The sequence below is a fragment of the Homo sapiens genome, chromosome 19 (genome assembly GCF_000001405.40).
Source record: "Homo sapiens chromosome 19, GRCh38.p14 Primary Assembly".
Taxonomy (NCBI): domain Eukaryota; kingdom Metazoa; phylum Chordata; class Mammalia; order Primates; family Hominidae; genus Homo; species Homo sapiens.
In genome coordinates, this window is record NC_000019.10 from 8,412,922 (window position 1) to 8,440,718 (window position 27,797).

The following is a 27,797-nucleotide window of genomic DNA, read 5'->3' on the forward strand; positions in this document are numbered from 1 at the left end:
CCGTCTCGGCCTCCCAAAGTGCTCCGATTACAGGCATGAGCCACTGCACCCGGCCAGTCTCAAAAAAAAAAAAGTTAAATTCTGCAGAGGTTTTATTTATTAGAGGACGCTGGCCGTCTGCAGGTGGCGCAGCAGCACCCCCTCGTGCCTGGGGCGGGGCTGGGGCGGGGCCAGTGCTGGGGCGGAGCCGGAGCTGGGGGCGGAGCCAAGACGCGGCAGGGGCGGAGCCAGCAGCTGCGGCACAGCGGGGCCTGTGCGGCCCAAGTCGTCCCTGTGGCCTCCGGCCCCGCCTCTTAGGGCGGGACGTGCAAGGCGATTGGCGAATGCAGGCGAGAGGCGGTCGCTATTGGTCCGCGGCGCTGTCGGCTCGGCGGGCGGTGCCCGGACGCAGGTGCCGGCCGGAGCGGAGCTAGTGGCGCCGACGGGCCGGGCCGGGCCGGGACCGGGGCCGAGGCGAACCGAGGGGCCTGTGCGGCCGCCCGGCCCGGCCGCGGATCAGGTAGGCACGGGCCTGCAGGTAGGGCCGGAGGACGCCAGTCCGCGGGCCGGCCCCGGGTTCGAGGCCGGAGCTCGGCACCCGGGCGGGACGGCTGGGCTCGATCCCTTGGCCACAGCCTTCTCGGGGACGCGGGGACCTCAGTTCCCGTGTCAAGGCCGGTGGGAGGTCTCCGGGGTCCGGCACACATAGGCGCCTCTCCGAGCCTCGGTTTCCCCACCTGTGAAACTGGGTCATCCCATTGCCAACCTGATGGGGCTTCTGGGAGGATTCAGGAGGTGGCTGGTGCAGAAAACGCCTGACACACAGTAGGCAACTGCTAAGTGGCCAATGCCCTTCCCCAACCTCCTTCTCAGAGCGGCTCTGCCTGCAAAATAGTAAGTTATAATATAATGACCCAGCCACTTTGCACAAAGATGCTGAAACAGGATGCCCTGTGCTATGTGGGTGCTCAAAACGGGGTAGTCAAATGGGCATGTTGAGCTCATTCAGTTCTTTTGAAACCATACTGAGTAGGTGGAAGCAGTAGAAATGTCCCCTGTTATACAGTTGAGAGAGTCCAGGCTCAAAGAGGTTAAGTGTCTTGCCCAGGGCCACACAGCACATAAGGAGTAGAGCTGGGATTGGAACCTTGCTTCTCATGCAGGGAGGAATGAATGCAATAACAACCTCCACATTTACCCTAAAAAATATTAATAGAGCTTTTATTGAGCACTTACTGTGTGTGCCAGGGTTGACTGTGTGACCTCTCATCAACAACTCTGTAAGCTGATGATAGTAATTATAATAAGAGCTAATAGTTATTAACTTCTTAATTTTTTACTAATTTATGAACTACATATCATTATGACTCCCCGTCTTTTTTTTTTTTAGACAGAGTCTCTCTCTCTTGCCCAGGCTGGAATGCAGTGGCACGATCTGAGCTCATTGCAACCTCTGCCTCCCAGATTCAAGCGATTCCTACCTCACCCTGGTCAAGTAGTTGGGATTACAGGCCCCCGCCACCGTGCCTGGCCAATTTTTGTCTTTTTAGCAGAAACGGGGTTTCACCATGTTGACCAGGCTGGTCTCGAACTCCTGGCCTCAAGTGATCCACCTTCCTTGAACTCCCAAAGTGCACAAAGTGCTGGGATTACAGGCGTGAGCCACTGCGCCCGGCCTGTAACACTCATTTTAGAGATGATAATACTGAGGCTGAGAGAGTAAAACAGCTGCCTGAGACCACAATGTAGGGAGTTTTAGGGCCCTCTGATTCCTCTGCCCTCTGTTTCCTACCTTCAGGAAAAGGAGCCTGGGCAGGTATGGAAAAGACTGGGGGGCCTCAGTGCCACCCTAAACAAGCCTAGCTAAGGGTGAGCTTTACTGGATGAATTCAGCCTGGAGGCTCCTTCTCAGGAGACCCCTCCACGGACAGAGTCCACCAGCTCCATCATTAGAATGAGGCCCAGAGAAGCAAAGTGACTTGAACCAGGACACCCAGCATCGGTGGCATAGCCAGGAGGGCCAGGAGTTAAAGAACCCAGGTCTCTTGAGGTCCAGAACCACTCCCTGGACTGTTTTAAGTTCAAATTCTGACACCACCCCTTCCTAGCTATATGACCTTGGGAAAGTAGGTGCCTCTCTCCGAGCTTCAGCCTCTTTCCCCATCATAGGGTGTAATTATTGGTTTGTTGTGAAGACTCAATGAGATCTATCTCCAGGCCGGGCGTGGTGGCTCATGCCTGTAATCCCAACACTTTGAGAGGCCAAGGCGGGCAGATCACTAGGCCAGGAGTTCAGGACCAGCCTGGGCAACTTGGCAAAACACCATTTCTACAAAAAAATACAAAAATTAGCTGGATGTGGTGGTGTGCAGAGCTACTCAGGAGGCTGAGGTGGGAGGATCACCTGAACCTGGGGGCGGTGGAAGCTTCAGTGAGCTGTGATTACTACACTGCCCTCCAGCCTTTTGGGTGACAGATTGAGACCCTGCCTCAAAAGAAAAAAAAAAAAAAACAGACAAAAGAAAGAAAAGAAATAGGCCAGGCGCGGTGACTCATGCCTGTAATCCCAGCACTTTGGGAAGCCAAGGCGGGTGGATCACCTGAGATAAGGAGTTTGAGACCATCCTGGCCAACATGGTGAAACCCCGTCTCTACTAAAAATACAAATAATTAGCCAGCTGTGGGTGGAGGGCACCGGTAATCCCAGCTACTCTGGTGGTTGAGGCAGGAGAATCGCTTGAACCTGGGAGGCGGAGGTTGCAGAGAACCGAGGTGGTGCCATTGCTCTCCACCCTGGGCAACAAGAGTGAAACTCCATCTCAAAAAAAAAAAAACAAAAAAAACAAAAAAAAAAACCAGACAAAAGAAAGAAGAGAAATAAATCTCCTGGGCACTGGGCCAAGTTTGCTGGAGCCATCAGATCACTCTCCCATTTCAGCAGCCTCAGAGCTGAGTCCGACTTGCAGTCACCCTCTCTTTGTGTCCAGCCTCAAGTTTGGCCTCTTCCAGGCCTGGGCCTCTGTGGTTTGAGTGGACCTCTAGCCTCTAAATATCTCTGATGCCCACCACAGGGGCTGGCCGACCAGGATCGGAGGGTCAAGAGATGTGGCTCTCTCACGCTGTTCTTAAACGGAGTGAGGATTGAGAAATGACTACAACATGGCCAGGCACAGTGGCTCATGCCTGTAATCCCAGCACTTTAGGAGGCTGAGGTGGGCGGATCACGAGGTCAGGAGTTCGAGACTGGCCTGGCCAACATGGTGAAACCCTGTCTCTACTAAAAATACAAAAATTAGCCGGGTATGGTGGTGGGTGCCTGTAATCCCAGCTACTCGGGAGGCTGACGCAGGAGAATCCCTTGAACCCAGGAGGTGGAGGTTGCAGTGAGCTGAGATCGGCCACTGTACTCCAGCCTGGGCGACAGAGCGAGACTCTGTCTCAAAAAAAAAAAAAAAAAAAAAATGACTGCAGCAGCAACCAGAAATGCAGCAGCTCTGGGCTAGACAGAGGGCCAGGTGCTGGGGACAGCGGGAGGCAATCTGACAGGGTCTCTTTTTTACAGAATTCACTGTAGGGTAGGACAACAGACGTGGCTAAATACGTAGGTGAATAAGTAGAATGTTTCAGACAGGGACACATGCCACGAGTGGAATCAAGTGGACCCCATTGGCACTTCATTGATTGATTGAGACAGGGTCTTGCTCTGTGGCCCAGGCTGGAGTGCAGTTGTGTGATCATGGCTCACTGCAGCCTCAACCTGGGTGCAAGCGATTCTCCCACCTCAGCCTCCTGAGTAGCTGGGATTACAGGCGCACATCACCACACCCGGCTCATTTTTGTATTTTTTGTAGAGACGGGGTCTTGGTATGTTGCCCAGGCTTCTCTCAAACTCCTGGGCTCAAGCGATCCTCCCACCTCAGCCCCCAAAGTGTTGGGATTACAGGCATGAGCCAATGCGCCAGGCCCCAGACAGCATTGTCGAGAAGGCTTCTCCAGGAAGGTGACCTTTGAAGGAGACACTTATAACAACTGTTTCGAGTTCAGTGAGATGATGACTATGTATGGAGATTGCTTGGCATAGTGTCTGGTTCTTAATAGATAGAAGCTGCTAGTATAATTTTGGTGGTTTGCAGGCCTTGCATTAAGAGATTTACCTGTGGTTTTTTTTTTTTCTCCCTGATAGAAGAAATATTAGAACACCACATGCAGGAGCTGGGATAGTTCCTGTAATATCCAGTTATTTGCAGAAATGTAAAGACCAGGCCAGGGGTGGTGGCTCAAGCCTGTAATCCCAGCACTTTGGGAGGCCGAGGCGGGCAGATCACTTGAGATCAGCAGTTGGAGACCAGCCTGGCCAACGTGGTGAAACCCTGTCTCTACTAAAAATACAAAAACGAGCTGGGTGTGGTGAAACACAGCTGTAGTCCCAGCTACTCGACAGGCTGAAGCAGGAGAATTGCTTGAACCCAGGAGCCTGAGGTTGCAGTAAGCTGAGATCACACCACTGCATTTCAGCCTGGGTAACAGAGTGAGACCCTGTCTTTTTTTTTGGGCGGGGGGATGAAGTCTTGCTGTCACCCAGGCTGGAGTGCAGTGGCGTGATCTCAGCTCACTGCAAACTCCATCTCTCAGGTTTAAGCGATTCTCCTGCCTCAGCTTCCCAAGTAGCTGGGATTACAGTTGCCCGCCACCATGCCCAAGTAATTTTTGTGCTTCTAGTAGAGATGGGGTTTTGCCATGTTGGCCAGGCTGGTCTCGAACTCCTGACTTCAGGTGATCCGCCCGCCTCGGCCTCCCAAAGTGCTGGGATTACAGGCATGAGCCACTACGCCCGGCCAATACCCTGTCTTTTTTTTTTTTTTTTTTTTTTTTTTTTTTTGAGAAAGAATTTCACTCTTGTTGCCCAGGCTGGAGTGCAATGGTGCGATCTCGGCTCACTGCAACCTCTGCCTCCCAGGTTCAAGTGATTCTCCTGTCTCAGCCTCCCGAGTAGCTGGGATTACAGGCATGCGCCAACATGCCTGGCTAATTTTTTTGTATTTTTAGTAGACACGGGGTTTCTCCATGTGGTCAGGCTCGTCTTGAACTCCTGACCTCAGGTGATCTGCCCACCTCGGCCTCCCAAAGTGCTGGGATTACATGCATGAGTCACCACGCCCGGCCAAGACCCTGTCTTAAAAAAAAAGAAATGTAAAGACCTAGCCTCAGAAGGGCTGGGCTGGAGGAAAGGACTCGCCTCTGCCTGCCTTCCCGTAAAGAGCCCAGCCGCTTCCCCTTTGGCCTCTGAGCTTAAGGTTCTGGTTGCAGGGACTTGGGAGGGAGAGCAGCAGGCACCCTGTGTCAGGCCCGGCCACTGCCCTGTGGGTGTTATCTCAGGCCTGCAGTCTTCCTCTTGGGTCCCTGCCTTTGGGCAATACTTGCTTATCTGGCCTGCAGAGGCCTGACTATGATGCTCAGAAGAACATGTGAGGCCAGGAAGGCTGCTGGCTGAGCTGTTTAGAGGGCATTTATCCAGCAGTGAACCGTCCTAGCGCAAGAGTTAGTAATTGCTCCCCTGTTCCTTCACCTCCCCACTTTGGAGCTCAGATTTGTTTTTTTGTTTGTTTGTTTGCTTGCTTTCTTTTGTTCTGTTTTAGAGACTGGAGACTGGGTCTTGCTCTGTTACCCAGGCTGGAGTGCAGTGGTGTGATCATAGCTCACTACAGCCTTGAACTCCTGGGCTCAAGAGGTTGAGGCTCCCTCCTCAGCCTCCCAAGTAGCTGGGACTACAGGCTTTCAGCACCATGCCTGGCTAATTCAAAAAAACCTTCAGAGAGATAGGGTCTCTCTATGTTGCCCTAGCTCGTCTCAAACTCCTGGCCTCAAGTGATCCTCCTGCTTGGACCTCCCAAAGCGCTGGGATTACAGGTATGAACAACTTCCCCTGGCCCAGGGCTCGGATTTTGATTGGCAGTTTACAAGCTGACTTGGGGTGGGGGTGGGAATACTTCGCTGAGTACTTGATTGCCTCTCTTGCTTGGACTTTCTGAACACTTTAGGGGCTGCAGGGGCTCTGGACATTGTAGCTCTTGGGGGTTGGACAAGCTGGGAACAGAGATCCTTGGCTCCAGGGCACCTGTATTGGCTTCAAGGAGGTCTCCAGAAAGGGCCCTTGTTTCTTCAATGAAATTCTCTGCCGGGCCGGGTGCAGTGGCTCACACCTGTAATCCCAGCACTTTGGGAGTCCGAGGCAGATGGATCACCTGAGGTCAGGAGTTTGAGACCATCCTGGCCAACATGGTGAAACCCCATCTCTACTAAAAATACAAAAATTAGCCGGGCGTGGTGGCTCATGCCTGTAATCCCAGCACTCTGGGAGGCCAAGGCAGGAGGATCACAAGGTCAAGAGATCAAAACTATCCTGGCCAAAATGGTGAAACCCCATCTCTACTAAAAATACAAAAATTAGCTGGGCATGGTGGCGCATGCCTGTAGTCTCAGCTACTCAGCAGGCTGAGGTAGGAGAATCATTTGAGCCCGGGAGGCGGAGGTTGCAGTGAGCCAAGATCGCGCCATTGCACTCCAGCCTGGGCAACAGAGCCGGACTCCATCTCAAAAAATAAATAAATAAAATACAATAAAAATAAAAATAATTGGCCGGGCGCGGTGGCTCACACCTGTAATCCCAGCACTTTGGGAGGCCGAGGCGGGCGGATCACGAGGTCAGGAGATCGAGACCATCCTAGCTAACACGGTGAAACCCCGTCTCTACTAAAAATAGAAAAAATTAGCCGGGCGTGGTGGCGGGCGCCTGTAGACCCAGCTACTCGGGAGGCTGAGGCAGGAGAATGGCGTGAACCCGGGAGGCAGAGCTTGCAGTGAGCTGAGATCAGGCCACTGCACTCCAGCCTGGGCGAAAGAGCAAGACTCCGTCTCAAAAAAAAAATAAATAAATAAATAAATAAAAATAAAAAATAAAAATAAAAATAAAAATAATTGCCGGGCGCAGTGGCTCACACCTGTAATCCTAGCACTTTGGGAGGCTGAGGCAGGTGGATCACAAGGTCAGGAGATGGAGATCATCCTGGCTAACATGGTGAAACCCCGTCTGTACTAAAAATTCAAAAAATTAGCCGGGTGTGTTGGCGGGCGCCTGTAGTCCCAGCTACTCAGGAGGCTGAGGTAGGAGAATGGTGTGAACCCAGGAGGTGGAGCTTGCAGTGAGCTGAGATCGCGCCACTGCACTCCAGCCTGGGCGACAGAGTGAGACTCCGTCTCAAAAAATAAATAAATAAATAAATAAATAAATAAATAAATAATTAGCTGAGTGTGGTGGTGGGCCCCTGTAATCCCAGCTACTTGGGAGGCTGAGGCAGGAGAATCGCTTGAACCCGTAAGGTGGAGGTTGCAGTGAGCCGAGATCATGCCATTGCACTCCAGCCTGGGCGACAAGAGTGAAACTCCATCTTAAAAAAAAAATAAATAAATATAAATAAAAATACAAAAACTAGCCAGGCATGGTGGTGCATGCCTGTAGTCCCAGCTACTTGGGGGGCTGAGGCAGGAGAATCGCTTGAACCCAGGAGGTGGAGGTTGCAGTGAGCTGAGATCGTGCCACTGCGCTCCAGCCTGGGCAACACAGCGAAACTCTGTCTCAAAAAAAAAAAAAAAAAAAAGAACTGGTTCTGATACCTTATCTGGAAAGGTGATATTAGTTGAAAGGTGGTCCTGGCCCTGGAGGCTTTGAGGGTAAGAGGAGGCCTAGCTTTTCTTGTCTTCTCTTTTTTAGAGACAGGTTCTCACTCTGTGGCATAGGCAGGAGTGCTGTGGGCACCGTCATAGCTCACTGCAGCCTCAAACTCCTGGGCTCAAGTCATCCTCCCACCTCAGCCTCACAAGTGGCTGGGACTATAGGCTTGTGCTACCATGCCTGGCTAATATTTTTGGTTTTCTTTAGTAGAGCCAGGGTTTCACCATGTTGCCCAGGCTGGTCTCAAACTCCTGAGCTGAGGCAATCGGAGGCAGGCGGATTGTCTTGAATCCAAAGTGCTGGGATTACAGGTGTGAGCCACTGCTCCTGGCCTAATTTTCTCATTTTTTATAAAGATAGAGTCTTGATGTGTTGCCTAGGCTGGTCTCAAACTCCTGGGGCTCAAACAATCCTCCTACCTTGGCTTTCAAAGCACCGGGACTATAGACATGAGCCACCACACCTGGCCAGGCCTAGCTTTCCTGTTTTTTTTGGGTTTTTTTTTTTTTTTGAGACAGAGTCTTGCTCTGTCGCCCAGGCTGGAGTGCAGTGGCGTGATCTCGGCTCACTGTAACTTCCCCCTCCTGGGTTCAAGCGATTGTCCCGCCTCAGCCTCCCAAGTAGCTGGGACTACAGGCGCGTGCCACCAAGCCTGGCTAATTTTTTGTATTTTTAGTAGAGATGGGGTTTCACTGTGTTAGCCAGAATGGGAAACCTAGCTTTTCTTTTTTTTTTACTTTTTTCTTTCTTTTCTTTTTTTTTTTTTTTTTTGTATTTTTAGTAGAGACAGTGTTTCACCATGTTGGCCAGGATGGTCTTGATCTCTTGACCTCGTGATCCACCCGCCTCAGCCTCCCAAAGTGCTGGGATTACAGGCGTCAGCCACCGCGCCTGGCCAGGGAAGCATAGCTTTTCTTAGGAGAGTGAGAAATAATACAACCCAAGCTCCTGCTGTATACCAGCCTTGTGCTGAGTTACATGCATCGTCTCCTTGAATCCTCACTGGCCCTACAGAGGCCCATTTTACAGATGGTGCAAACTGAGGCTCAGAGATGTAAATGGTCTAGTGGTCCCTACAGCCTTGACAAGAGGGGACTCAAACCTTAGTCCGTCAGGCTCATTAACCTTGCCCCTAACCTCCGCACTGGCCTGTTCCCAGGCTCCTGGAACCATGGGCCTCAGGCCCTGAGGATACGGGGCTCCCGGTGGCCATGACGACGGGTGACTGCTGCCACCTCCCCGGCTCCCTGTGTGACTGCTCCGGCAGCCCTGCCTTCTCCAAGGTCGTGGAGGCTACGGGCCTCGGACCGCCCCAGTATGTGGCACAGGTGACTTCAAGGGATGGCCGGCTCCTCTCCACCGTCATCCGTGCCTTGGACACACCGAGGTGAGTGGTGACTGCGTGGATATCCTGGCCTTTGTTGCCTCTTCTCTCTGGGCGCAGTGAGTTTCTCCCAGCCTGGGGTTAGAAGTCCAACCGTTGACAGAGGGCCAAGTGGGTAAATAGAGAAAGAGACACAAACAGTTATCGCCTTGTGGAAACAGAGGCCTAGCTTTGGCCGGGTCTGATTCTTTAGGAAAAGCTGAAATTCCAGATTATTATGTGAAATCTGAAGGTCAAATGTTGTCAAGTAACACACTTTTGGGAGGCAGTATAGGGGGCGGTCAGGAGTGCAGGCTGTGGGCTCAGTGCCTCGGCCCTGACCCTGAGTGGACACCTCTCTCTCTCCCAGAGTGACCTGGGACAAATTACTTCACCACTGTATCTCTCTTTTTTTTTTGAAACAGAGTCTCATTTTGTTGCCCAGGCTGGAGTGCAGTGGCGCAGTCTCAGCTCACTGAAACCTCCGCCTCCCAGGTTCAAGTGATTTTCCTGCCTTAGCCACCCGAGTAGCTGGGATTACAGGCACCCGTCACCACACCTGGCTAGTTTTTGTACTTCTAGCAGAGACGGGGTTTCGCCATGTTGGCCAGGCTGGTCTCAAACTCCTGACCTCAGGTGATCTGCCCGTCTCGGCCTCCCAAACTGCTGGGATTATAAGTGTGAGCCACCGTGCCCAGCCTCTTTTTAAATTTTTTTTTTTTTTTTTTTTTTTAGAGAGTCTTGCTTTGTCACTCAGGCTGGAGTACAGTGGCGTGATCTCGGCTCACTGCAACCTCCGCCTCCCGGATTCAAGCGATTCTCCTGCCTCAGCCTCCTGAGTACCTGGTTCTACAGGCACGCGCCACCACACCCAGCTAATTTTTGTATTTTTGGTAGAGATGGGGTTTCACCATGTTGGCCAGGCTGATCTTGATCTCTTGACCTCATAATCCACCTACCTCAGCCTCCCAAAGTGCTGGGATTACAGGCGTGAGCCACCGCGCCTGGCCGTGCTCAACAAATATTAAGGCTTTTTTTTTCCTCTCTTCTCTGAATTTGTTTTTTTGTTTTGTTTTGTTGTTTTGGAGACAGAGTCTCACTTTGTCACCCATGCTGGAGTGCAGTGGCATGATCTCAGCTCACTGCAACCTCTGCCTCCTGGGTTCAAGCGATTCTCCTGCCTCAGCCTCCCAAGTAGCTAGGATTACAGCCCCCCCGCCCCGACCATGCCCGACTAATTTTTGTATTTTTTTAGTAGAGACGGGGTTTCACCATGTTAGTCAGGCTGGTCTCCTGACCTCAGATGACCCACCCACCTCGGCCTCCCAAAGTGTTGGGATTACAGGCATGAACCACTGTGCCTGGCCTCTTCTCTGAATTTGCTCTCCCAAACTTTTTCACAGTTTCCCAGAACAAGCTCCAAACTGACATGATTCTTCCTCAAGATTCTCGTCACTTCTGTTTCCCTGGGTTGGTTTCCGGACAAAGGGTTCCTTTTTTGTTAACTTTGTTTGTGTGTGTACTTGGGGGAGGGTGGGATCGGGGTATGGGTTCAGAAAGGAGGCAGGCAGGCATGCCCTTTTGCCATTGCAGGAGGAAATAGCAGTCCAGGGACAGGACTGTTGAGAAAGCAGCCATGAGCAGCCTGTTGGGCTCTTTTTAAAGCCGCCCAACTCCACCCCGCAGCATGAGAATCTGAGAAAAGGATAGAAAACAGTCATTTCCAGGCAGGCGTGGTCGCTCATGCCTGTAGTCCCAGCACTTTGGAAGTCCAAGGCTGAAGGATCGCTTGAGCCCAGAAGCTCAAGACCAGCCTGGTCAACATAGTGAGACCCCCCTCTCTAGAAAAAGTTAAAAAATATTAGCTGTGTGGCGTGGTGCCACCTGTAGTCCCAGCTACTCGGGAGACTGAGGCAGGAGGATCGCTCGAGCTAGGGAGTCCGAGGCTGCAGTGAGCTGTGATTGCACCACTGCACTCCAGCCTGGGTGACTCAAAAAAAAAAAAAAAAAAGAAAGAAAAAAAAATACAGTCTCTCTGAGAGGAAATTGGCGTTGTCTGGAAAATAGCTCTTCTTTGTGTGACCTCACAGTCTGCCTTCTGGCCAGAAATGTTTGGGAAACAGTGACTCATGGCTGTTTGGCCTCTGGGCCACGCCCCCTGCCTCCTGAGCTGCCCTGGGAAGGACCCGGCATCCCCAGAGACTGGGCCAGGGCTGGAGACTTTTCCGAGGCAGCTTTCTGCAGATGCTTTTTATTTCTATTTCCCCCTCACAAGGGCAGAGGAGCAGGTGAGCACTTCTCTCTGGATGCACAGGTTTCTCAGGTAGCACGGGCTTCAGGTGTGATTAGATCCAGGGGCCCGCAAAGATGTCCTTAAGAATCTACCTTTCCCAGGCCTTGCGCAGTGGCTCACGCCTGTAATCCCAGCACTTTGGGAGGCCGAGGCGGGTGGATCACGAGGTCAGGAGATCGAGACCATCCTGGCTAACACGGTGAAACCCCGTCTCTACAAAAAATACAAAAAATTAGCCGGGCGTGGTGGCCGGCGCCTGTAGTCCTAGCTACTCTGGAGGCTGAGGCAGGAGAATGGCATGAACCTGGGAGGTCGAGCTTGCAGTGAGCCGAGATCGCGCCACTGCACTCCAGCCTGGGTGACAGAGCAACACTGTCTCAAAAAAAAGAAAAAAAAAAATCTACCTTTCCCTGTCTCTTGGCTCTGCTCTCCTCTGTGCTGGCATCATTCACAGGCTCCACACAGACTAGGCAGCTGCAGGAGCTCCAGGCTTCTGTCAGCCTTGTGGCCGACAGTTCTGGAGTTTACGGGGAAACAAAGAATTTTAGGAATAGATTATCGGTGACTCTGATGGTATCATACAAGCCTGAGTTGGTTGCATGAGCAGGGGTGCGTGCTGTTCTATTTTCTTTTTCTTTTTTTCAAATGGTCTCACTCTGTTGTCCAAGCTGGAGTATAGTGGTACAATTATGGGTCATTGGAGCTTTGAACTCCTGGGCACATGTGATCCTCCTGCCTCAGCCTCCCAAGTAGCTGGGACCACAACATGTACCACCACGCCAAGATAAGTCTTTAAAAAAAATTTTGGGACCGGGCGTGGTGGCTCACGCCTGTAATCCCAGCACTTTGGGAGGCTGAGGCGGGCAGATCACGAGGTCAGGAGATTGAGACCATCCTGGCTAACACGGTGAAACCCCGTCTCTACTAAAATACAGAAAAAAAAAAAATTAGCTGGGCATGGTGGCATGTGCCTGTAGTCTCAGCTACTCGGGAGGCTGAGGCTACTCGGGAGGCTGAGGCAGGATAATCGCTTGAACCTGGGAGGTGGAGGTTGCAGTGAGCTGATATCACACCACTGCACTCCAGCCTGATGACAGAGCGAGACTCCATCTCAAAAAAAAAAAAAGAAAATTTTTTTTTTATAGAGATGAGATCTCACTAGGTTGCCCACACTGGCCTTGAACTCCTCGGCTCAAGTGATCCTCCCGCTTCAGCCTTCCAAAGTGCTAGAATTACAAGCATGAGCTACTGCTCCCGGCCTGGTGTTCTGACTGGTCCAGTATGAGGCCTGAGGTCATGAGGAGTGTTGTCTGCTCTGCCCTAGTCCTTGAGGATTTTTTTTTTTTTTTGAGACGGAGCCTCACTCTGTCACCCAGGCTGGAGTGCAGTGGTGTAATCTCGGCTCACTGTAACCTCTGCCTTCCAGGCTGAAGTGATACTCCTGCCTCAGCCTCCCCAGTAGCTGGGATTACAGGCACCTACCACCACGCCCAGCTAATTTTTGTATTTTTAGTAGAGACGGGGTTTCACCATGTTGGCCAGGCTGGTCTTGAAATCCTGACCTCATGATCCTCCTGCCTTGGCCTCCCAAAGTACTGGGATTACAGGAATGAGCCACCTCACCCAGCTGGTCTTTGAGGATTAAGAGTCGAGGATTGGGGGCCGGGTGCGGTGGCTCACGCCTGTAATCCCAGCACTTTGGGAGCCTGAGGCAGGCGGATCACAATATCAGGAGATCGAGACCATCCTGGCTAACACGGTGAAACCCCGTCTCTACTAAAAATACAAAAACACAATTAGCCGGGCGTGGTGGCAGGTGCCTGTAGTTCCAGCTACTCGGGAGGCTGAGGTGGGAGAATGGCGTGAACCCGGGAGGCGGAGCTTGCAGTGAGCCGAGATCGCACCACTGCACTCCAGCCTGGGTGACAGAGCGAGACTCTGTCTCAAAAAAAAAAAAAAAAAAAAAAAGAGTTGAGGGTGGGGAAGTTGTGCAGGACAATCAGGGTGGGTATTTTAGGGAAATTTGGAGAGGACATGGGGGCGGGTATAACAGATGCCCATCTTGGGTCTGAGAGGGTGCTGCAGGGTCCCTGGGAAGGGAACACATCACTCCACCTGTGGGAGTCTGGGAAGGCTTCGCAAGGTTACCTTCCCTGCATCTCCTTCCCAAAGGGAAGGACATTTAGAGCTGGGCATTGAAGGATGAGTAGGAGTTCACTAAGTGGCAGCATGGGGTAAGGGTGAGCTTGTGATCCAGTGGGTAGTGAAGCAGGTATAGACAGAAAGCCCAATCATTGCTCATGGGTCCTATCTCTGTGTCCAGTGATGGTCCTTTCTGCCGGATCTGCCATGAGGGAGCGAACGGGGAGTGCTTGCTGTCCCCGTGTGGCTGCACCGGCACGCTGGGTGCCGTGCATAAGAGCTGTCTGGAGAAGTGGCTTTCCTCATCTAACACCAGCTACTGCGAGCTGTGCCACACGGAGTTTGCAGTGGAGAAACGGCCTCGACCCCTCACAGAGGTACCCTTAAGAGTCTGAGACTGCGGTGGGCAGTGGGGAGAGGGCAGACATGGGGGCCAAAGGCAGGAGCTGCCCCGGGCAATCTGGTGGTCCTCCTAGGGCAGAACTCCCTACCGCCCCTGTCCACCAGGTGGGTCTGCTGATGGTGTGTCAGAAACCAGGCCTAGGGTTTAAGAGCTCCCAGACCCATTAACCTCTCCCTGTTTTCATTCAGTCTTTCTTCTTCTTCTTTCTTCTTCTTCCTTCTCCTTCTTCTTTTTTTTGAGACAGAGTCTAACTCTTGTCCAGGCTGGAGTGCAGTGGTGCGATCTCGGCTCACTGCAACTTCTGCCTCCCAGGTTCAAGCGATTCTTCTGCTTCAGCCTCCCAAGTAGCTGGGATGACAGGCGTGCGCCACCATGCCCAGCTAATTTTCTGTATTTTTAGTAGAGATGCGGTTTCACCATGTTGGCCAGGCTGGTCTCGAACTCCTGACCTCAAGTGATCTGCCCACCTCAGCCTCCCAAAGTGCTGGGATTACAGGCATGAGCCACCGCTCCCAGCCTGTGTCTTTCATTAGCAGAGATTTCCTGGGCACCTCCAGCATGCCCAGCACTCTGTTAGGCACTGGGGACCCAGCCACCAACAAGACACGTAGGGCTGGGCACTCATGGAGATTAAAGTCCAGTAACTTTAATCTGGACTTCAAAGCATCGCTTCTGATATGAGGTTACAGAAAAAAAAAAAAAAAATCAACGAAGCAACTGGTTTCTGGGAGCAATAGTGCAGTAAGGGAAAAACATGTCACAGGGGGTGGGGCAACTTGGGGTGTCAGGCAAGGCCTCAAAAGGAGGTGAACCCCCCAGCTGAGGCCTGAGAGATGAAAAGGAACAAGCTGCCGGGCGCGGTGGCTCATGCCTGTAATCCCAGCACTTCGGGAGGCCGAGGCGGGCAGATCACTTGAGGTCAGGAGTTCGAGACCAGCCTGGCCAACATGGTGAAACCCCGTCTCTACTAAAAATACAAAAAATACAAAAAAAAAAAAAAAAAGTCCAGACACGGTGGCTCACGCCTGTAATCCTAGCACTTTGGGAGGCCAAGATGCATGGATCACCTGAGGTCAGGAGTTAAAGACCAGCCTGGCCAACATGGGAAAACCCTGTCTCTACTAGCTATACAAAATTAGCCAGGTGTGGGCTGGGCACGGTGGCTCATGCCTGTAATCCCAGCACTTGGGGAGGCCGAGGCGGGCGGATCACGAGGTCAGGAGATCAAGACCTTCCTGGCTAACATGGTGAAACCCCATCTCTACTAAAAATACAAAAAATTAGCCGGGCGTGGTTGCAGGTGCCTATAGTCCCAGCTACTCGGGAGGCTGAGGCAGGAGAATGGCCTGAATCCAGGAGGCGGAGCTTGCAGTGAGCTGAGATCAGGCCACTGCACTCCAGCCTGGGCGACAGAGTGAGACTCCATCTCAAAAAAAAAAATTAGCCAGGTATGGTGGTGGGTGCCTATAATCCCATCCACTAGGGAGGCTGAGGCAGGAGACTGGCTTGAACCCTAGGGAGGCTGAGGCAGGAGAATTGCTTGAACCCTAGGGAGGCTGAGGCAGGAGAATTGCTTGAACCCGGGAGGCGGAGGTTGCAGTGAGCTGAGACTAAGCCACTGCACTCCAGCCTGGGTGACAAAGCAAAACTCTGTCTCAAACGATGAGGAAAAAGCTAGGTGTGGTGGCGCATGCCTGTAATCCCAGCTACTTGGGAGGCTGAGGCAGGAGAATCACTTAAAGCTGGGAGGCGGAGTTTGCAGTGAGTTGAGATAGCGCCACTGCACTCCAGCCTGGGCAACAGATTGAGACTCTATCTCAAAAAAAAAAAAAAAAAAAAAAAAAAAAAAAAAACCAAGGCTGGACGTGGTGGCTCACAATCCCAGCACTTTGGGAGGCAGAGGTGGGTGGATCACCTGAGTTCAGGAGTTCGAGACCAGCCTGGCCAATGTGGTAAAACACCGTCTCTACTAAAAATACAAAAATTAGCTGGGCATGGTGGCGGGGGCCTGTAATCCCAGCTTGAACCCGGAAGGCGGAGGTTGCAGTGAGCCAAGATTGCACCACAGCACTCCAGCCTGGGCAACAAGAGCGAAACTCCGTCTCAAAAAACAAAAAACAAAAACCCTAGAAAAGCCCCTGGCCCACCTAGGAGCCAGAGTGTAGGGAGAAAAGTGGGAGGGAGGTCCAGCCCCTTCACACACCCTCCCACACCCACTTTGGTCTCCGTGCTACAGCCACACAGCCCCCTCCCCACACATCTTGTCTAGGCCGCCTCCCCCTATCCCAGGGCCTTTGCATCTGCCGCCCCTGCAGCCTAGAGCCCCATCTCCCCCATTCTTCACGTGGTTCCTTCTGTTCATTCCGTTCTCTTCAATGTCACCTCCTTGGCAAGGCCTTGCCCCATGTGACCGTTCACCCATTTCATACCTCCACTGCCAGCATGGGAGGGCAGGGGCCCTTTCTGTCTCATCCACCAGAATTTCATGAATTAAGCCCATTTCTTGGCTGGGTGTGGTAGCTCATGCCTGTAATCCCAGCACTTTGGGAAGCCAAGGTGGGAAGATCACTTGAGGCCAGGAGTTCAAGACCAGCCTGGGCAACACAGCAAGACCCTGTCTCTACAAAAAAATCAAAGAAATGAAAGAACTTATTATTATTATTATTATTATTATTATTATTATTATTATTTTGAGACAGAGTCTTACTCTGTCACCCAGGCTGGAGTGCAGTGGCACGATCTTGGCTTACTGCAACCTCCACCTCCTGGGTTCAAGCAATTCTCCTGCCTCAGCCTCCTGAGTAGCTGGGATTATAGGTGCGTGCTACCACGCCCAGCTAATTTTGTATTTTTAGTAGAGGCAGGGTTTCTCCATGTTAGCCAGGCTGGTCTTGACCTCCTGGCCTCAAGTGATCCACCCACTTTGGCCTGCCAAAGTGCTAGGATTACAGACGTGAACCACCACACCAGGGCTTTTTTTTTTTTTTTTTTTTTTTAGCCCATTTCTTTTGGCCTGTCATCTGGGGAAGGCCAAGCGTAGTAGATTAGTAGCCAAAGACGCTTCGGCCCTGGAGCAAGACTTCCCAGGTTGGAACCCCAGCTTTGTGGACTATGTAGCTGTGTGAGTTTGCTCACTTGAGTTAATTCCTCTGTGCCTCAGTTTCCCCATCTGTAAAATGGGGGTAAATGTGCCCAGCACCTGGCAGGGCCTGGCTCCTCATGGGCTCAATAAATGTTTGAAAGAAGGAAAGGGCCAGGCGTGGTGGCTCACACCTGTAATCCCAGAACTTTGGAAGGCCGAGGTGGGCAGATCACTTAAGGTCACAAGTTCGAGACCAGCCTGACAAACATGGTGAAACCCCATCTCTACTAAAAATACAAAATTAGCAGGGCATGGTGGCGCTTGCCTATAATCCCAGCTACTCGGGAGGCTGAGGTGGGAGAATCGCTTGAACCTGGGATGTTGAGGTTGCAGTGAGCCGAGATCGTGCCACGGCACTCCAGCCTGGCTGACAGAGCGAGACTCTGTCTCAAAAAATATATATACATACAAAATTAGCCGTGCATGGTGGCGCTTGCCTGTAATCCCAGCTACTCCGGTGGCTGAGACAGGAGAATTGCTTAAACCCAGAAGGTCGAGGTTGCAGTGAGCCGAGATCACACCATTGCACTCCATCCTGGGCAACAGAGTGAGAATCTGTCTCAAAAAAAAAAAAAAGAAAGAAGGAAAGGACAGAGGGAGGCCTAGGCCTGGAGGTCCTTACCCCTCCCCCTCAGTAGCCCCTTCTCTGCCCCCTCTCCTCTGCCCCCTATCCTCTCCCCTGCAGTGGCTGAAGGACCCGGGGCCGCGGACGGAGAAGCGGACACTGTGCTGCGACATGGTGTGTTTCCTGTTCATCACACCGCTGGCCGCCATCTCAGGCTGGTTGTGCCTGCGCGGGGCCCAGGACCACCTCCGGCTCCACAGCCAGCTGGAGGCCGTGGGTCTCATTGCCCTCACCATCGCCCTCTTCACCATCTATGTCCTCTGGACGCTGGTGAGTGGCTGTGGTTGTGCAGCACGCGTCTCGAGCTCTGCCGCTGGGAGCAGCAGGGCCAAGGATTTGGCCCCTGGCTTGTGGGGCACGGGGCTCCCTGGCTGCCTCTGTCTATGGCCGTGGGTGGAAGAGAGCTTCTGAGGTCACCCTGCCTCTCCAGGAGCTTGAGATTCCAAATGTGACAAAGGTCTAGGGAATCCCTGAGCCAGGTGTGAACCTTGACCTGAGTGCAGGAACCCCCATCCATGAACCCCCAAGATTAGGAGTGGGGCAGAGAGGAGCAAAAGCCTGAGAGAGAGATCGGGGGAGAACAAGATAGTGGGGAAATATATATTGATTAAGAAATTGAGGCTGGGCATGGTGGCTCACGCCTGTAATCCCAGCACTTTGGGAGGCCAAGGTGGGTGGATCACCTGAGGTAGGGAGTTCAAGACCAGCCTAACCAGCATGAAGAAACCCCATCTCTACTAAAAATACAAATTAACCAGGTGTGGTGGCACATGCTTCTAATCCCAGCTACTTGGGAGGCTGAGGCAGGAGAATTGCTTGAACTCGGGAGGCGGAGGTTGCAGTAAGCCTAGATCATGCCATTGCACTCTAGCCTGTGTAAAAAGAGCGAAACTCGATCTCAAAAAAAAAAAAAAAAAAAAAAGGAAAAAAGAAAAAAGAAAGAAATTGAAAGGGAAAACCCAGGCACAGTGGCTTACTCCTTTAATCCCAGCACTTTGGGAGGCCAAGGCAGGTGGATCATCTGAGCCCAGGAGTTCAAGACCAGCCTGGCCAACATGGTGAAACCTTGTCTCTACTAAAAATACAAAAATTTAGCTGTGCGTGGTGGTGGGTGCCTGTAATCCCAGCTACTCGGGAGGCTGAGGCAGGAGAATCACGTGAACCCGGGAGGCAGAGGTTGCAGAGAGCCGATATTGCGCCACTGCACTCCAGCCTGGGCGACAAGAGCAAAACTCTGTCTCAATAAAAATAAAAACAAAAATAAATTGAAAGAGGAAAGCCAGGTGCGGTGGCTCATGCCTGTAATCCCCATACTTTGGGAGGCTGAGGCAGGCGGATTCCTTGAGGTCAGGAGTTTGAGACCAGCCTGGCCAACATGGTGAAACCCCATCTCTACTAAAAATACAAAAAATTAACCTGGTGTGGTGGCATGTGCCTGTCATCCCAGCTACTAGGGAAGTTGAGGCAGGAGCATCGCTTAAACCCAGAAGCCAGAGGTTGCAATGAGCTGAGATCCTGCTACTGTACTCCAGCCTGGGCGACAGAGTGAGATTCTGTCTTTAAAAAAAGAAAAAGAAAGAAAGAAAAGAAAAGAAAAATTGAAGGGGAAGAGAGAGAGGAACTGAGATGAAAACACTGAGTGAGGCCAGGCCCAGTGGTTGTAACATCTGCAGTCCTAGCACACTGGGAGGCTGAGGCAGGAAGATTGCTTGAAGCAAGAAGGTTCAAGACCAGGACGGGGCAACAAAGCCAGATGCCCATCTCTATAAAAAATTTAAAAATTAGTGGTGGTGTGCACTTACACTCTCAGCTACTCTGGAGGCCAAGGTGGGAAGATCTCTTGAGGTTAGGAGTTTTAGACTAGCAGGGCAACTTAGGGAGACCCCATCTCTACAAAAGGAAAATAATTAGCTGGGCATGTTGGCTCACACCTGTAATCCCAATATTTTAGGAGGCCGAGGTGGGAAAATCCCTTGAGGCCAGGAGTTCAAGACCAGCCTGGGCAACATAGAAAGACCCCGTGGCTACAAAAAATTTTAAAAAATTAGCTGGGCATGGTGGCACATGCCTGTAGTCCCAGCTACCTGGGAGGCTGAGTCAGGAGGATCACTTGAGCCCAAGAATTTGAGGCTGCAGTGAGCTGTGATCACACTACTATACTCCACCCTGGGTGACAAAGCAAGACCCAGTATCAAAAAAAGATAAAAAGCCTGGGTGCAGTGCTTCTGCCTGTAATCCCAGTATTTTGGGAGGCTGCAGCAGGAGGATCACCATAGCCCATGAGTTCAAGATCAGCCTGGGCAAGATGGTGAGACCCCATCTCAAAAAATAATAATAGGGGCTGGGCATGGTGACTCACGCCTGTAATCCCAGCACTTTAGGAGGTTGAGGCAGGCAGATTGCTTGAGCTTACGAGTTTGAGACCAGCCTGGGCAAAGTGGCAAAACCCCATCTCTAGAAAAAATACAAAAGTTTGTCGGCCGTGGTGGTGCGTGCCTGCAGTCTCAGCTACTCCGGAGGGTGAGGTGGAGGATCGCTTGAGCACTGGAGGCAGAGGTTGCAGTGAGCCGAGATTGCACCACTGAACTTCAGCCTGGGTGATAGAGCCTGACCTTGTCTCGAAGAAAATAATAATATTAATAAAAGAAAAAGGAAAAAAAAAAGGCTGGGTGCAGTGGCTCATGCCTGTAATCCCAGCACTTTGGGAGGCTGAGGGGGGCATATCACTTGAGGTCAGGAGTTCAAGACCAGCCTGAGAAACATGGTGAAACCCCGTTTCTACTAAAAATACAAAAAATTGGCCAGGCACGGTGGCTCACGCCTGTAATTCCAGCACTTTGGGAGGCTGAGGCGGGTGGATCACGAGGTCAGGAGTTCAAGACCAGCCTGACTAACATGGTGAAACCGTGTCTCTACTAAAAATACAAAATTAGCTGTGTGTGGTGGCACATGCCTGTAATCCCAGCTACTCAAGAGGCTGAGGCAGGAGAATCGATTGAACCTGGGAGGCAGATGTTGCAGTGAGCTGAGATTGCACCATTGCACTCCAACCTGGGCAACAGAGCAAGACTCCGTCTCAAAAAAAAAAAAAAAAAAGAAAAGAAAAGAAAAGAAAAATTAGCCAGGTGTGGTGGCACATGCCAGTAATCCTAGCTACTCGGGAGGCTGAGGCACAAGAATCACTTGAATTTGGGAGGTGGAAGTTACAGTGAGCCAAGATCGTGCCACTGCACTCCAGCCTGGGTGCCTGAGTGACAGAATAAGACTCTGTCTCAAAAAAAAAAAAAAGAAAAAAAGCCTGAATGAGAGACAGACAGAATGATGGGGGTGTGAGGTATTGTTCTAGGCCTCTGGTAGGCAGCAGAACCCTTGCTTAGAGGCAAAAGCTCCCCCAAATCTCACCCCTCAGACATAACCACTATTGTCCAGCTGTAGGGGAGTCCCTGCCTCACAAAGTATTTTTCAATGAACCTACCAGCATTTCTTTTTTTTTTTTTTTTTTTTTGAGACGGGGTCTTGCTCTGTCACCCAGGCTAGAGTGCAGTGGCACAATGTTGGCTCACTGCCATCTCCGCCTCCTGGGCTCAAGCGATTCTCCTGTCTCAGCCTCCTGAGTAGCTGGGATTACAGGCATGTGCCACCACACCCAGCCAATTTTTATATTTTTAGTAGAGACGGGGTTTCGCCATGTTGGCCAGGCTGGTCTCGAACTCTTGACCTCAGGTATCCACCCACCTTGGCCTTCCAAAGTGCTGAGATTACAGGCATGAACCATCGCGCCCTGCCCCTACCAGCATATTTTAAAATATGTAAATAGGATGAAATCATAGCTACTGTTTTAGCATCTGCTTGTTTTCATTTTGCTGGTGTTCTTTAAAAAAAAAAACCCACACACACAACGAGGCAGCCACCCAGCAGACATTCATTGTATGGGTGGACCATATTTATTTAACAAATCACTTTTGACAGGCACTGGGATTTTTTCCAATGTGTGTGTGGTTTTATTTCTACTTCCTTGTTTTTTCCATTATGAACAGTGCTTTGGGACTGTCCATGCAAATGTTTCTTGGGAACTTGCTTGGTCAAAGGATGTGAACCACTGACCTTTATTTATTTATTTATTTATTTAGCCGGAGTCTCACTGTGTCGCCCAGGCCAGAGTGCAATGGTGCAATCTCAGTTTACTGCAACTTCCGCCTCCCGGGTTCAAGCAGTCCTCATGCCTCAGCCTCCCGAGTAGCTGGGATTAAGGCATCTGCCACCATGTCTGGCTAATTTTTGTATTTTTAGTAGAGACGAGTTTTCACCATGTTGGCCAGGCTGGTCTCGAACTCCTGGACTCAGGTGATCTGCCCACCTTGGCCTTCCAAAATGCTGGGATTATAGGCGTGAGCCATTGCGCTAAGCAACATTTATTTTTTAATTTTTTTTTTTTTTTTTGAGACAGAGTCTCGCTCTGTCACCAGGCTAGAGTGTAGTGACGCGATCTTGGCTCACTGCAACTTCTGCCTCTCAGGTTCAAGCAATTATCCTGCCTCAGCCTCCCGAGTAGCTGGGACTACAGGTGTGCGCCACCATGCCCAGATAATTTTTTTTATTTTTAGTAGAGACAGGGTTTCACCATGTTGGCCAGGATGGTCTCGATTTCTTGACCTCGTGATCCGCCCGTGTCTGCCTCCCAAAGTGCTGGGATTACAGGTGTGAGCCACCACACTAGGCCATTTTTAAATTTTTTTATAGACTAATTTTTAGAGCAATTTTAGGTTCACAGCAAAATTTAGCAGAAAGTACAGAGAGTTCCTGTATATCACCCTGCTCCATACGCACACAACTTGCACAGCCTCCCCCACTATTAACATCGTTTACCCAAGCAGTGCATTTGTTACAATCAGTGAACCTTCATTATCCCTTTAAAGCCATAGTTCACATTAGGATTCACTTCTTTTGTTTGTTTGTTTTGAGATGGTATCTCGCCCTGTCTCTCAGACTGGAGTGCAGTGGTGTGATCTCCGCTCACTGCAACCTCTACCTCCTGGGCTCAAGCGATCCTCCCACCTCGGCCCTCCCAAGTAACTAGGACCATAGGTGCCCACTACCACACCTGGCTAGTTTTTGTATTTTTTGTAGAGACAGTGTTTTGCTATGTTGTTGTATCTGGTCTTAAACTCCTGGGCTCAAACCTTGGCTTCCCAGAGTGCTGGGATTATAGGTGTGAGCCACTGCACCTGGCCTGTGTGTGTGTGTGTGTGTGTGTGTGTGTGTGTGTGTGGCGGGGAGGGGATAGGATTGTTCTTTGTCACCCAGGCTGCAGTGCAGTGTGGCGTGATCATGGCTCACTGCAGCCTCAACCTCCCAGGCTCAATTGATCCTCCCACCTCAGCTTCCTGAGTAGCTAGTATTACAGATGTGTGCACCACGCCTGGCTAATTTTTGTATTTTTTTGGTGGAGACCGGGTTTTGCCATGTTGCCCAGGCTAGGAGTTGACTCTTGCTGTTGGACATTTATAAGTTTTGATGAATGTATAATGACATGTATTCACTATTTTTTTTTTTGGGGGGGACAGAGTCTCACTGTGTGCCAGGCTGGAGTGCAGTGGTGCGATCTTGGCTCACTGCAACTTCCGCCTCCTGGGTTCAAGCGATTCTCCTGCCTCAGCCTCCCGAGTAGCTGGGACTACAGGCCTGTGCCACCACGCCCAGCTAATTTTTGTATTCTTATTGGAGATGGGGTTTCACCATGTTGGCCAGGATGGTCTCGATCTCTTGACCTCGTGATCTGCCCACCTTGGCCTCCCAAAGGGCTAGGATTACAGGTGTGAGCCACTGCACCCAGCCATATTCACCATTATAATATCAGACAGAGTAGTTTCGTTGCCCTAAAAGTCCTCTGTGCTCTCTCTATTCATGCCACCCTCCTTTTCCCCAAGCCCTATCCACTGCTGATCTTTTTACTGTCTCCATGGTTTAGCCTTTTCCAGAATGTCCTATAGTTGGAGTCATTCAGTATGCAGCATCTTCAGGTTGGTTTATTTCATTTGGTGATAAGCATTTAAGGTTATTTTCGTGGCTTAAGGGCTTTCTTTTTTTTTTTTTTTTTTTTTTTGAGGCAGAGTCTCGCTCTTTCACCCAGGCTGGAGTGAAGTGGAGCGATCTCGGCTTACCGCAGCCTCCGCACCCCTCCCCCACAGGTTCAAGCGATTCTCTTGCCTCAGCCTCCTGAGTAGCTGGAATTACAGGCACCCGCCACCATGCCTGGCTAATTTTGTATTTTTAATAGAGATGGGATTTCTCCATGTTGGTCAGGCTGGTCTCAAACTCTGGACCTCAGGTGATCCACCCACCTTGGCCTCCCAAAGTGCTGGGATTACAGGTTTGAGCCACTGCGCCCAGCATTTTTTTTTTTTTTTTTGAGACAGGATCTCACTCTGTTGGATTGCAGTGGCGTGAGCACAGCTTGCTGCAGCGTCAACCTCCAGGGCTCAAATGATTCTCCTACCCCAGCCTCCTAAGTAGCTGGGACCACAGGCCTGGGCCACCACACCTGGCTAATTTTTAAATATTTGGTAGAGACAAGGTCTCGCTATGTTGCCTAGGCTGGCCTTCGACTCCTGAGCTCAAGTGGTCCCCACGCCTCGACCTCCTAAAGTGCTGGGATTACAGGCATGAGCCACCTTACCCAGCTTCGTTTCTTTTTAGCACTGAATAAGATCTCATTATCTGGAAGCACCACTGTTTATTTATTCATTCACCTATTTTTTTTTTTTTTTTTTTTGAGACGGAGTCTCGCTCTGTCGCCCAGGCTGGAGTGCCGTGGTGCGATCTCGGCTCACTGCAAGCTCTGCCTCCCAGGTTCACACCATTCTCCTGCCTCAGCGTCCCGAGTAGCTGGGATTACAGGCGCCCACCACCACGGCCGGCTAATTTTTTGTATTTTCAGTAGAGATGGCGTTTCACCGTGTTAGCCAGGATGGTCTCGATCTCCTGACCTCATGATCCACCTGCCTTGGCCTCCCAAAGTGCTGGGATTACAGGCGTGAGCCACCACGCCTGGCCTCATTCACCTATTGAGTGACTTTTTTTTTTTTAAACTTTTTTTTTTTGTTTGCACGTTCTGGTTGCACGTTTTGGCAATTATGTGACTGATTTACATTAAAAAAATTTTTTTGAGACAGGGTCTCACTCTGTCGCCCAGGCTGGAGTGCAGTGGCGTGATTTCGGCTCACTGCGGCCCATATCTCCCAGGCTCAGGCGATTCTCCTGCCTCAGCCTCCCAAGTAGCTGGGACTACAGGTCCGTGCCACCACGCCAGGCTAATTTTTGTATTTTTAGTAGAGACGGGGTTTTTAGTAGAGACAGGGTTTCTCCATGTTGCCCAGGCTGATCTTGAACTCCTGAGCTCAAGTGATCTTCCCCCGTGCCCGGGCTCCCAAACTACTGGGATTACAGGTGTGAGCCACCTCGCCCGGCCTGATTGATTGACATTTAATGCCTTCCAAGAGGCTGTTTCACTCCTTTCCCACTGAGAGGCAGGAAAGGAGCTCCCGTTTGCTTCCTGCTGGTGTGTGTGGGGTGTATCTTGTCTTTGCAGGACTCTGGAAGCTGGTGGGTGTCACCAGGAGTGTGAATGGGTCTGTGTGTGTGCACTTTGTGGGAGGAATGTTCATAAGCCAGCTCTGCTTCTGGAAGCATGAGCCCCAGCCATGGTTTGGGCCAACGCAGGTGCCACCACGGCGACTTGTTTTCCTCCCTTGCGGGTGGAGGCCTCCGCTCACTGCAGGGCTGCCCCACAGGTCTCCTTCCGCTACCACTGCCAGCTGTACTCCGAGTGGAGAAAGACCAACCAGAAAGTTCGCCTGAAGATCCGGGAGGCGGACAGCCCCGAGGGCCCCCAGCATTCTCCACTGGCAGCTGGACTCCTGAAGAAGGTGGCAGAGGAGACACCAGTATGAATGCTGGGCTCTCCGGACCCTGCAGCAGAGAGGCCAGAGGTAGCTGGTGATACCCTGTCCTGTGGAAGGACTTCCACTTCAACACTTCCACTTCAACAGTTCCCGCACGGCCTGAACGCTTCTTAGGCCAAGAGACACCATGCAGAGCCTAGTCTGTGATCCTGTGTGAAGATATTTTCAGGGTTTTTTTTTTTTTTTTTTTGCATATGGAGGACAGGTGGACATGGTCCTGAGCTCTGGACGGAGCAGGCACCCTGATCTCATTCTGAGGTCCACATGGCACCTTCTGGGCCAGCAGCTGTGGCCGGTGTATCAAGGGCGCCCTTAAAGCTGGAACATTCCAGCAAGCTTCTTGCGCTTCTCTGCACCCGGCAGGCCCACTTTCCTGGCACCCTCGACTTTATATAAAAGTTGCACTGCGTTTCAAAAACCCACCCCTGAATGAATAAAAGGAGCCCTGGCTGGACAAAATGGACTTGTCAGTTATGTTTCTCAAAGGAGGCCTCCCAGGGAGGGACCACATGGAGGTAAAAAAATAACACTGGCGGCCAGCCAGGTGTAGTGACTCACTCCTGTAATCCCAGCACTTTGGGAGGCTGAGGTGGGTGGATCACAAGGTCAAGAGATCGAGACCATCCTGGCTAACATGGTGAAACCCTGTCTCTACTAAAAATATAAAAATTACTTGGGCATGGTGGTGCGCGCCGGTAATCCCAGGTGCTACACAGGAAGCTGATGCAGGAGAATCGCTTGCACCTGGGAGGTGGAGGTTGCAGTGAGCTGAGATGGCGTCACTGCACTCCAACCTGGCGACAGAGAGAGACTCCATCTCCAAAACAAAACAAAACAAAACAACAACAAAAAACACTGGTTGGCCAGGCACAGTGGCTCATGCATGGAATTCCAGCACTTTGGGAGGCTGAGGTGGGCGGATCACAAGGTCAGGAGTTCGAGACCAGCCTAGCCAATATGGTTAAATCTCGTCTCTACTAAAAATACAACATGAGCCAGGCGTGGTGGCAGATACCTGTAGTCCCAGCTACTCGGGAGGCTGAGGCAGGAGAATCGCTTGAACCCGGGAGGCAGGGGTTGCCGTGAGCCAAGATCGCACCATTGCACTCTAGCCTGGGTGAGACAGCGAGACTCTGTCTCAAAAAAAATAAAATAAAATAAAAAACAATAAAAACCACTGGCTTGTTTTGAGGGATCTGTTCTGAAGCCCATGGGAAGAAGCAAAGGCTCAGTCTTCAAGTAAAAATCAGGTAGCAGGGTTATAAAAATGATTTTTAAAATATACATACGGGCTGGGCATGGTGGCTCATGCCTGTAATCACACTTTGAGAGGCCGAGATGGGTGGATCACCTGAGGTCAGGAGTTCGAGACCAGCCTGGCCAACATGGTGAAACCCCATCTCTACTAAAAATACAAAAATTAGCTGGGCGTGGAGACGCACACCTGTAATCCCAGCTACTCGGGAGGCTGAGGCAGGAGAATGGCTTGAACCTGGGAGACAGAGGTTGCAGTTAGCTGAGATCAGTTGCACCACTGCATTTCAGACTGGGTGACATCGTGAAACTCTGTCTCAAAAAATAAAAAATAGAAAAATAAAATAGACATAAGAACAATTTCCTCTTACTTTGCATCTGCCAGTCCACAGACCATGCTGGCCTCTGTTTTTCTTTTTTTGAGATGGGGTCTTGCTCTGTCACCCAGATTGGAGTGCAGAGGCACAATCACACAGCTCACTCCAGCCTCGACCTCCTGGGCTCAGGCAATCCTGTCTCAGCCTCCCTGGCAGCTGGGACAACAGGCATGCACCACTGCGCCTAGCCACTGTTAGTTTTTAGTTAAGTGTAGAGAGTCCAGCATGGGCCAGGCCTGGTGGCTGATGCCTGTAATCCCAGCATTTTGGGAGGCTTCGGCAGGAGGATCAGTTGAGCCTAGGAGTTTGAGACCAGCCTTGGCAACATAGTGAGACCCTGTCTTTACTAAATAAATAAATATATAAATATATATATATTAGCTGGGCATGGTGGCATGCACCTGTGGTCACAGTTACTCAGGAGGCTGAGGTGGGAGGATCCCTTGAATCCAGGAGTTCCAGGCTGCAGTGAGCTATAATTATACTTCTGTTGTCTATTCTAGGCAACAGGGCAAGACCCTGTCTCTAA

General features: G+C 51.2%; 1 protein-coding gene across 8 annotated transcripts, besides 8 other annotated features; it reads left to right on the forward strand.

Annotated features, from left to right (window-relative positions):
• Window positions 1–360: a silencer, noted in NCBI's record as "silent region_10022". NCBI's record gives its function as "represses an Ori minimal core promoter by ATAC-STARR-seq in GM12878 lymphoblastoid cells {active_cell/tissue: GM12878}" and the evidence as "EXISTENCE:reporter gene assay evidence [ECO:0000049][PMID:35858748]".
• Window positions 1–550: a biological region, named in NCBI's record as "H3K27ac hESC enhancer GRCh37_chr19:8477814-8478314".
• Window positions 9–509: an enhancer, noted in NCBI's record as "H3K27ac hESC enhancer chr19:8477814-8478314 (GRCh37/hg19 assembly coordinates)". NCBI's record gives its function as "activates a minimal SCP1, AML or CMV promoter by ChIP-STARR-seq in naive H9 embryonic stem cells {active_cell/tissue: H9 hESC(naive)}" and the evidence as "EXISTENCE:reporter gene assay evidence [ECO:0000049][PMID:30033119]".
• On the forward strand, window positions 384–26,096 carry MARCHF2 (membrane associated ring-CH-type finger 2). 8 transcript variants are annotated; one of them, NM_001369776.1, is made up of 6 exons: window positions 384–873; window positions 5,616–5,886; window positions 8,868–9,095; window positions 13,688–13,883; window positions 17,737–17,946; window positions 25,467–26,096. In NM_001369776.1, the coding sequence occupies exons 3-6, from the start codon at window positions 8,920–8,922 to the stop codon at window positions 25,623–25,625; spliced, it is 741 nt and encodes a 246-aa protein (NP_001356705.1). In that variant the 5' UTR covers window positions 384–873; window positions 5,616–5,886; window positions 8,868–8,919; the 3' UTR covers window positions 25,626–26,096. The 8 variants fall into 8 exon arrangements, 7 of the variants coding, with proteins under 7 accessions (NP_001356705.1, NP_057580.3, NP_001356707.1 ...); NM_016496.5 differs by having other exon boundaries at window positions 384–499; NM_001369778.1 differs by having other exon boundaries at window positions 384–499; window positions 5,618–5,886.
• Window positions 391–550: a silencer, noted in NCBI's record as "silent region_10023". NCBI's record gives its function as "represses an Ori minimal core promoter by ATAC-STARR-seq in GM12878 lymphoblastoid cells {active_cell/tissue: GM12878}" and the evidence as "EXISTENCE:reporter gene assay evidence [ECO:0000049][PMID:35858748]".
• Window positions 2,704–2,998: a silencer, noted in NCBI's record as "tiled region #12836; HepG2 Repressive non-DNase unmatched - State 23:Low, and K562 Repressive DNase matched - State 8:EnhW". NCBI's record gives its function as "represses a minimal TATA promoter and a strong SV40 promoter by Sharpr-MPRA in HepG2 and K562 cells {active_cell/tissue: HepG2 | K562}" and the evidence as "EXISTENCE:reporter gene assay evidence [ECO:0000049][PMID:27701403]".
• Window positions 5,283–5,427: an enhancer, noted in NCBI's record as "145 bp enhancer 154 fragment used in the MPRA reporter construct; PK_construct_4099". NCBI's record gives its function as "activates an SV40 promoter by MPRA in K562 cells {active_cell/tissue: K562}" and the evidence as "EXISTENCE:reporter gene assay evidence [ECO:0000049][PMID:23512712]".
• Window positions 5,346–5,363: a transcriptional cis regulatory region, noted in NCBI's record as "GATA motif; enhancer activity is reduced when this motif is scrambled". NCBI's record gives its function as "necessary for full MPRA enhancer 154 activity {active_cell/tissue: K562}" and the evidence as "EXISTENCE:site-directed mutagenesis evidence [ECO:0005528][PMID:23512712]".
• Window positions 11,113–11,976: an enhancer, noted in NCBI's record as "H3K27ac-H3K4me1 hESC enhancer chr19:8488918-8489781 (GRCh37/hg19 assembly coordinates)". NCBI's record gives its function as "activates a minimal SCP1, AML or CMV promoter by ChIP-STARR-seq in primed H9 embryonic stem cells {active_cell/tissue: H9 hESC(primed)}" and the evidence as "EXISTENCE:reporter gene assay evidence [ECO:0000049][PMID:30033119]".

What these genes read in the sequence shown, in the direction of transcription:
- MARCHF2 (NM_001369776.1), top strand. Translation starts at nt 8,920, where the DNA reads ATGACGACGGGTGACTGCTGCCACCTCCCCGGCTCCCTGTGTGACTGC. An exon ending in GGCCTCGACCCCTCACAGAG is followed by an intron (nt 13,884 to 17,736) that starts GTACCCTTAAGA and finishes TCTCCCCTGCAG; the next exon opens with TGGCTGAAGGACCCGGGGCC. An exon ending in TCTATGTCCTCTGGACGCTG is followed by an intron (nt 17,947 to 25,466) that starts GTGAGTGGCTGT and finishes GCTGCCCCACAG; the next exon opens with GTCTCCTTCCGCTACCACTG.